The 9,382-nt window shown below is 50.2% G+C and overlaps 3 annotated features.

Moving 5' to 3' along the window:
* Nucleotides 1,676–1,970: an enhancer, noted in NCBI's record as "tiled region #10046; HepG2 Activating DNase matched - State 4:PromP, and K562 Activating DNase unmatched - State 8:EnhW". NCBI's record gives its function as "activates a minimal TATA promoter and a strong SV40 promoter by Sharpr-MPRA in HepG2 and K562 cells {active_cell/tissue: HepG2 | K562}" and the evidence as "EXISTENCE:reporter gene assay evidence [ECO:0000049][PMID:27701403]".
* Nucleotides 1,676–2,095: a biological region, named in NCBI's record as "Sharpr-MPRA regulatory region 10046".
* Nucleotides 1,896–2,095: a silencer, noted in NCBI's record as "silent region_9905". NCBI's record gives its function as "represses an Ori minimal core promoter by ATAC-STARR-seq in GM12878 lymphoblastoid cells {active_cell/tissue: GM12878}" and the evidence as "EXISTENCE:reporter gene assay evidence [ECO:0000049][PMID:35858748]".

A 9,382-nucleotide genomic window follows, 5' to 3' on the forward strand; every position in this document is an offset into this window, starting at 1 on the left:
ATTGCCTTCTCAGTTTTCAGGCTTCAATAAAGCAATCCACCACGTTGAAGAGACCCCTATGTGAGTTTGCAAGTGGCTCTTTTCCCTTTCCAATCTTTTTTCTTTTCTTTTAGGTATAGGATCTTGCTATGTTGCCCTGGCTGGGATGCAGCGGCTATTCACAGGTGCAATCATAGTGCACTACAGCCTCAAACTCCTAGCCTCAAGCAATCCTCATGCCTCAGCCTCCAGAGTAGCTGGGCCTACAGGTACTTAACACCTCATCTGGCATCCCCCAGTCAGATATTTGGATGAGACCCCTGCCTTGGCTAACACCTTGATGAAAACCTGTGGAAGGTTCTAAGGCAGGTACGACACAGAAACAGTGAGATAATGAATATGATTATTTTAAGCCATTAAGATTTGAGGGGCTGGGCAAGGTGGCTCATGCCTGTAATCACAGCACTTTGGGAGGCCGAAATGGGTGGATCACTTGAGCCCAAAGGTTTGAGACCAGCCTGAGCAACATAGCAAAACCCCATTTCTACAAAAATTTTAAAAATTAGCTGGGCATGGTGGTGTGCCCCTTTAGTCCCATCTAGTCTGGAGGCCGAGGTGGGAGGATCACTAAGCCCAGGAGACAGAGGTTGCAGTGGGCCCTGATCCTGCCACTGCACTCCAGCCTGGGTGACAGAGGGAGACCCTGTCTCAACAACAACAAAAAAGATTTGGGGCTATTTGTTACACAGCAATAAATAACTAATACACGTGTGTGTGTGTGTTGTTTGTTTGTTTGGTTTTGAGACAAAGTCCTGCTCTGTCACCCAGGCTCTGGAGTGCAGTGGCACGATCTAGGCTCACTGAATCCTCCCCCCCACTGGGTGCAAGTAATTCTTCTGCCTCAGCCTCCCAAGTAGCTAGGACTACACGTGTGCCACACCACGACTGGATAATTTTTGTATTTTTAATAGAGAGGGGGTTTCACCATATTGGCCAGGCTGGTCTCAAACTCCTGACCTCGTGATCCGCCTGCCTTGGCCTCCCAAGGTGCTGGGGTTACAGATGTGAGCCACCGCACCTGGTCCACTATTTTTTTTTTATCATTATTATTAGAGGAAGTTTCATAAAGAGAATGAATATGTGGGCTTTTGTAGCCAATCCTAGAGGGTGGGAGTCCCTCCCTGCCTCCTAGCTTGTACTTGCCCCATTGGGAGCCTCAGTTTTCTCATCTGTAAAAGGCGAATGATAACAATGCCTGCTTCTGGGGCATAAGAAGCATGAGATGCAAATAAAGCGTTTCGCTCAGGCTCTGCACGTAGGGAGTGGTCAGGTACAGGGGCCGTGGTGATGCCGCTGATGGCTAGGGGGACAGGGACTGTCTCCTGTCTTGTCTGGTGACATCCCCTTCTGAACAGAGACTTGGAGCCTGCAGGGGTTTCAGCAATTGTTTGTTGATGCTGCAAGATCTCTGTGCCCCTGCCGTGTTTGTCTGTCTGTCTGTCAGCGTGCCCTACCCTCTGTGCTCGCTGGCCTGGTTCGTGATCCTCGCCGTGTCCTGTCCACCCACTTGGATGTCCTGTCATGTCCGTGGGGGGCTCGGAGCGACTGAGCTGTGGGGGCCGGAGACTGGGAGCGGGAGCTGAGGGAGGGAGGGAGGAGGGAGGGAGGGAGGCAGCGCTTGCCTGGCCCTCATGATCCCCCCTCCTCGTCTCTTGCCGAGGACCCTCAGCGCAGCCACTTCTCCAGGCACTCGGCAGAGAGAACGCGCGTAGGCGTTGCCCTGGCAACGCCGGGATGCCCAGCAACAAGTCCGCGGCGTGTATCACGTGCTCGGCGCGGACCAATCCGAGGGCCCGCCGGGAAGCAGGTCAGCCTGGGCCAAAGTCCGCCTCCTCCCTCGCGGCGAGAGGCTCCCAGCTAATTACCGTAATTGCGGTGGGAGAGCTGCCGGATGCGCGGGGGCTGGGGCTGGGGGCTGGGCAGGCCCTGAGGAGCTGAGCGGGGAGGGCTGGAAAACAGGACTCTCCTCCAACAGCCCTGCCGCTGCCTCCAACCCCACCATCGAAGCGTTCATTAGGCGCCTACAGTGTGCACCTGCTGTTGGAAGGGGTGGGTTTGGAGTGTTTCCAGTGGTGGTGGGGAACCCTAGCCTCCAGCCTGGGTAAACCTAGATTTGGGGGCGCGGGGAACAGATTTGACTCTTAAGACTCGGGGTCTCATGGAAACTGTCCAATCGCCGTTGGCTGTATTGAACCAATCCCCCCCTCCCCCATCCCGATGGGTCACGGTTTCCTCCTGCACAAAAATACAAAAAGTTTAACTCTTGAAGAGGGTGTATTAAAAGATTTGCCTCTGGGTGGACAGAATTCACATCCCGTCTCTGCCATTTGCGGCTGTGTGACTCTAGGTGAGTCCCTTAACCTCTCTGAGCCCTCGACTCCTCATCAGTTAAAAGAACAAATAGGACCAGGCACAGTGGCTCACTCCTGTAATCTCAGCACTTTGGGAGGCCGAGGCAGGCAGATCACCTGAGGTCGGGAGTTGGAGACCAGCCTGGCCAACATGGTGAAACCCCATCTCTACTAAAAGTACAAAAATTACCCGGGCCCGGTGACAGGCACCTGTAGTCCCAGCTACTCGGGAGGCTGAGGCAGGAGAATTGCTTGAACCTGGGAGGTGGAGGTTGCAGTGAGCTAAGATAGCGCATTGTGCTCCAGCCTAGGTGACAGAGCAAGACTCTGTCTCATATTATTGAGAGAATGTGTGTGAAGTGTGCAGCAAGTATTTAATAAACAGCAGCTAATCATCACCATGGTCCCAGCTCTCAGTTAGGAGCTGTGAGACCTTCCAAGTGTCATTTAATGGCACTGAGCCCCAACTGTTTCCATAGATGAGGTGAAGGAGTGGGAGAAGTGGCCTCGTGTCAGATTCCCTGCCACTGCAGTTTGTTTCCTACACAATGTTCTCTGGGTTGTTTTTCTTTCTAATTAATAATAGCTCAAGGCCAGGTACAGTGGCTCTCACCTGTAATCCCAGCACTTTGGGAGACCTGGCGGAGGCAGGAGGATCTCTTGAGGCCAGGAGTTCAACACCACCCTGGGTGACAGACTGAGACCATGTCTCTAAAAAACAATAGAAATTTAAAAAAAGAAAGAAAATTAGCTCAAAGTGGGGGCCTTCATGTGAAGGCATTTAAATTTCTGATTCCTAGACTACCTGATTTTTTTTTTTTTTTTTGAGACGGAGTTTTGTTCTTGTTGCCTAGGCTGGAGTGCAATGGTGAGATCTTGGCTCAATGCAACCTCTGCCTCCCGGGTTCAAGCGATTCCCCTGCCTCAGCCTCCAGAGTAGCTTGGATTACAGGCCTGTGCCACGTGTATTTTGTATTTTTAGTAGAGACGGGGTTTCACCGTGTTGGCCAGGCTGGTCTCGAACTGCTGACCTCAGGTGATCCTCCGGCCTCGGCCTCTCCAAGTGCAGGGATTACAGGCTTGAGCCACCACGCCTGGCCTAGCTGATCTCTTCTTAACTCCTTTCCAGTTATTTGCTTTGTTTGTTCTTTTGTCGACAAGCATTAATTGAGCACCTAGTGTGTACCAGGCTCTACTGTGGGTCTGAGTCCTCAGCCTCGCTGTGCTGAACTCAGGGTCCAACTGAGCCGGACTGCAGGGCAGCTTCGAGGAGTAAATGAGACCCTTCAGTCATTCAGTGAATTTCAGGCATTGGGAAATACAGTGCCAATAGTTGTGACTATCGCATTGACCACAGGAAGTGGCCCAGGACCTCAGTGGACGGGAGGACACATCTGATCATCGTTCATTTTCACCAGTGCTGATTTCCTCCTCCAGGTCTTTCCTCCCGCTCGCTGTTCCATCTTTCCCGGAAGACTTTCCTCTGAGCAGGCCCTCTGCTCACCTGCTCCGGGAACAGCAGGAGCAAAGACACAAATGGCAGAGCCTCTGAGGGGCTCCCCTGGGTGTACCCCCCTCCACCACTGTGGCTGCCAGGAACTGTCTTCCTATCTGCTCCCCTCTTAGAAGGGCAGTCACCAGACGGCAGTTGCAGAGAAGGACTGTACTTGGAAGTTGTTTTTATTGTTGTAGTTGTTGTTTTTGAGACAGGGTCTTGCTCTGTTGCCCAGGCTGGAGTGCCGTGGCACGATAATAGCTCACTGCAGCCTCAACCTCCTGAGCTCAAGCCATCCTCCTGCCTCAGCCTCCAGGGTAGCTCGGACCACAGGTGCATGCCACTATGCCTGGCTAATTTTTGTATTTTTTGTAGAGTCAGGGTCTTGCTATGTTGCTTAGGCTGGTCTCAAACTCCGGCCTCAAGTGATCCTCCAGTCTTGGCCTCCCAGATTACTGAGATTACAGGTGTGATCCACTGTGCCTGGCCCAGAATTTTGTTAATATGCATATTTCAGGAGCCTCTGCAAGCTAAGAAGGGAGAATACAACTTCCATGCAAGGGCCTCCCAGGACTCAGGGCTGGTGAGCAAACCAGGTCTGCAGGAACTTGGCTTGACTCTGCAGCCCAAAAGGCACATTTTGGAGGCTTGGGTCTGGTCCCACTTCAGACTCAGGTACCAACCACAGAATTTGGCTGAAAGTGGGGACTCTGGTCTCAAAAGGCAGCTCTCTCTGTTTCTCTGCTGTGTGAGCCTGGGCAAGAGTCTCAACTCTCTGTGCTTGCTTCTGCCCCTGGGACATGGTGCTAATAAGCACCAAGCTTGGAAAGTTAACGTGAGGACGAGATGAAGAGAAGAGCCAGCACCTAGTAGGTTTTCAATAAATGGTAGCTGGCATTATCATTTACACAGATTGGGGACTGATTGGAAGGAAGCCGTGACGGCCACAGAACCAACAGAAAGCTAGAAAATCGCTTTTGAGAACAGGCAGATGCCAAGAGAAGAGCCATTGAGGGGAGCAGCAAGATGGCAGGCAGGGAAATATCAAGCCTAGCCCCAGACAGACTCCGTCTTTCAGTAGGACTACGGGCTAGCAATCCAACCTCTGTCTTCTTCCCTTTTCCCCATCTTTCAAACAGGAACAAAACAACAGGTCCTGGTTCCCTGGAGGATGAGGGTGTGAGTTGGAACAGATACCCTTGGAGAGGTTCCGGAAGGTTCCAGAAGGTTCTGGAAGGTTCTGGAAGGTCCAAATCTGGACCTCATCGTATCATTGACAAATATCTATTGGGGCTCAATATTTTCAGGACACGGTGCTTCATGTTAGGGCTGCCAGAAAGTATGGCAAGCCAAGACAAGAAACATCAAAGACGGGGATAGGAAAGCTGGATTCTAGTCCTGGCTGGGCCTCTGACGTGCTGTTTGAGCTCTCTGGGCCTCAAGGAATTGAAAAGTAGGGGGGTTCTATAATAGGAAGGCCACCCTTCAGAGCCCTTCTCTGCCCCCTGCTTGCTAGGTGTCCTTGGGGAAAATGTCTCCACCTCTCTGGGACTCAGTTTCCACATCAGAACAGTGAGATTCAGTCACTGTGCTGCAGGACAGCTTTGAGGAGTAAATTAGATTATTTAGTCATTCAATGAATTTCAGGCATTGGGAAATACAGTGCCAATTAAAATGGGGCATGACCTGGCTCTCTATGGTCTATAAAACGCTTAGCACATAGTGAATGACAGACAATGAGTACCACCATTGGGCCATCATCATCACCCGTAAAGTGCTCGGCACAAAATAGATGCTCAGTAAACCCTAGTTAGTAATACTGCAGCAGTAGTTCCAGGACCTACATTGCAAGATTCTCTCCTCTCCCACTGTGTCCAAAGCATTAACGTGCCAGGAAGCAGGAACTGAGACCTTTATTAGGGATTCCCTGGGTGGCCTCAGGTGGGGAGGGTGACCTGCGTGTGGTCCTGTTTTCATGCCCTGCCTCTTCTAGGTAAACGCCTCTGCTAATCTCCCCTTGCCCAGGCTGCAGGTCAGGTTTCGGGGCCCCAGGCAGATGTTGTCCAGAGTAGCCCTGTTTCCTTAATCCTCAGGGCTCCAGAAATTGTCCTTAGAAGAAAGAACAACAGACCCGCTGAGGTCACCATCTGTGCAGTCTTGATTTGTAAATGCTCATGAGGGTGGCAGGAAAGAGGTCTCTATAGTAACGGCTGAGGAAGGGGCTGCGTGTGTGTGTGTGTGTGTGTGTGTGTGTGTGTGTGTGTGTGTACGCGCACATACAGGGAGGAGGAATCACCCAAGGCCCTTATTCCTAGACTTTTCTTTTCTACCCTGATGAGCTATTAATTAATACTCATTGCTGGCTTGTTATTCCCAGAGATAATTAGCTACTGTTCCTAACTGGAGTCGTGGGGCCATTTTCTAAATAGATTCGTTCGCCTCTGCCCACCCACACCTGTCTATCTCCCGGGACACAAGGAAATGTTACAGAACACAGAGACCCAGAGAGGAGAAAAACTGAACAAAGGGGTCTCTCTGGGAAGCTCAGATTCCAAGTGAATAGACAAGAGCAGAGCCTGAATGAGCAAGGGCCCAGTGCACAGAAAGTTATTATAAAAATGCCAGCTATAGCTGAGAGTGGTGGCTCACGCCTGTAATCCCAACACTTTGGGAGGCCAAGGCAGGAGGATCACTTGAGGTCAGGAGTTCGAGACGAGCCTGGCCAACGTGGTGAAACCCCATCTCTACTAAAATACAATCGCTCTGGAAAAGTTTGACAGTTTCTTATGAAGTTAAATATACACTTCCCATATGACCCAGCCGTCACCCTCCTAGGTGTTACCCTGGAGATGTGAAAATTTATCGCCCACATGAAAGCCTGCATGAAAATATTTATAGCAGTTTTATTCCTAATAATCTCCAAACACAGAAGGTGTTCCAGAACCTAATGTCCTTGGACTGATGAATAGCTAAACAGGCCATAGTTCATCCACATGATGGAATACTACTTAATAATAAAAAGGAACTAACTCCGGGTTCACACAACAGCATGAATGGCTCTCCAGTGTATTCTACTGAGGAAAGGAAGCCAGGCCAGGCGTGGTGGCTCACACCTGTAATCCCAGCAATTTGGGAGACCGAGGTGGGTGGATCGCTTGAGGTCAGGAGTTCAACACCAGCCTGGCCAACATAGTGAAAACCCATCTCTACTAAAAATACAAGAATTAGCTGGGTGTGGTGGCGGACACCTGTAATCCCAGCTACTCGGGAGGCTGAGGCAGGAGAATCGCTTGAATCCGGGAGGCAGAAGTCGCAGTGAGTCGAGATCATGCCACTGCACTCCAGCATGGGCAACAGAGTGAGATTTCATCTCTAAAATAAAATAAAATAATAAAAAATAAAAATAAAAAGTAGCAAACGTGCATGTGGGCGGAGAATGTACACACTTATATATGCATGTACTTCTGGAAGGGCACAGGAAATGAAATGAACAATTGATAAGAGATTAAACCTTGGGGTTGGCAGACTGGGGTCCCCAACTCCCACACCCTCTCCCTGTGGTCCTTGGGCAAGCCCCTTCCCCTCTCTAGCCATCTATAAAACATGCATATCAGCCAGGCATGATAGCTCATGCCTGGAATTTCAGCACTTTGGGAGGCCAAGGTGGGAGGATTGCTTGAGCCCAGGAGTTCAAGACCAACCTGGGCAACATAGGGTGACCCTGTTTCTACAAATAATTTTTAAAATTAGCTGGGCATAGCGGTGCACACCTACAGAAGGCTGAAGTAGGAGGATTGCCTGAGCCAGGAGGCAGAGACTGCAGTGAGCCATGATTGCACTACTGCACTCCAGCCTGGGTCACAGACTAAGACTCTGTCTTAAAAAAAAAAAGGTCTTTCTTCCTTTTTTTTTTTTTTTTTTTTTTTTTTTGAGAAGGAGTCTTGCTCTGTTGCCCAGGCTGGAGTGCAGTGGCACGATCTTGGCTCACTGCAACCTCCTTCTCCCGGGTTCAAGTGATTCTCCTGCCCGAGCCTCCCAAGTAGCTGGGATTACAGGCACCCGCCACTATGCCCAGCTAATTTTTTGTATTTTTAGTAGAGACGAGGTTTCACCATGTTGACCAGGCTGGTCTCGACCTCCTGACCTCGTGATTTGCCCGCTTTGGCCTCCCAAAGTGCTGGGATTACAGGCATGAGCCACTGTGCCCAGTCAAAAGGCCTGCTTTCCTTTCTCTCTCTCTCTCTCTCTCTCTCTCTCTCTCTCTCTCTCTCTCTCTCTCTCTGTCTATTTTGAGATGGAGTTTTGCTCTTGTTGCCCAGGCTGGAGTACAATGGTGCAATCTTGGCTCATTGCAACTTCAAACTCCTGGGTTCAAGCGATTCTCCTGCCTCAGCCTCCTGAGTAGTTGGGATTACAGGCATGCACCACCATGCCCAGCTAATTTTTGTATTTTTAGTAGAGATGGGGTTTCAACATATTGTCCAGTCTGGTCTCAAACTCCTGACCTCAGGTGATCCACTTGCCTTGGCCTCCCAGAGTGCTGGGATTACAGGCATCCAGCCAAAAAGAACTTTCTTTCTTTTTCTTTCTTTCTTTCCTTCTTTCTTTTTCTTTCTTTCTTTCTTTCTTTCTTTCTTTCTTTCTTTCTTTCTTTCTTTCTTTCTTCTTTCTTTCTTCTTTCTTTCTTTTTCTTTCTTTTTTCTCTCTTTCTCTTTCTCCTTCCTTCCTTTCTTTGTTCTTCTTCTTCTTTTTTTTTAACAGAGTTTTGCTCTTATTGCCTAGGCTGGAGTGCAGTGGCACAATCTTGGCTCACTGCAACCCCCACCTCCTGGGTTCAAGCGATTATCTTGCCTCAGCCTCCCAAGTAGCTGGGATTAGAGGCACGTGCCACCATGCCGGCTAATTTTGTATTTTTAGTAGAGTCAGGGTTTCTCCATGTTGGTCACGCTGTTCTCAAACTCCCGACCTCAGGTGATCCACCCACCTCTGCTTTCCAAAGTGCTGGGATTACAGGCGTGAGCCACCATGTCCGGCCCTTTTTCAATTTTTTTATTATTTTTATTTTTTTTATACAAGGTCTCGCTCTGTCACCCAGGCTGGAGTGCAGTGGCATGATCTTGGCTTACTGCAACCCCTGCCTCCCGGGTTCAAGCGATTCTCCTGCCTCAGCCTCTGTAGTAGCTGGGACTACAGGCACCCGCCACCGCACTCGGCTAATTTTTGTATTTTTAGTAGAGACGAGGTGTCACCATATTGGCCAAGCTGGTCTCGAACTCCTGACCTCAGGTCATCCACCCGCCTCGGCCTCCCAAAGTGCTGGAATTACAGGGGTGAGTCAACGCACCTGGCTGGGATCTATCTCATGGGGCTGCCCTGAGGCCTTCAGATCACTCAGCAGGTAGAATGTCTGGCACTGACCCTGGCACAGAGTAAAAGCTTAGGGAAGGGGAGAGAGAAAGGGTGGCAGGTCTTCCTGTGCAACCTGAGGAACTTCACT

The sequence above is a fragment of the Homo sapiens genome, chromosome 19 (assembly GCF_000001405.40).
Source record: "Homo sapiens chromosome 19, GRCh38.p14 Primary Assembly".
NCBI classification, from domain to species: domain Eukaryota; kingdom Metazoa; phylum Chordata; class Mammalia; order Primates; family Hominidae; genus Homo; species Homo sapiens.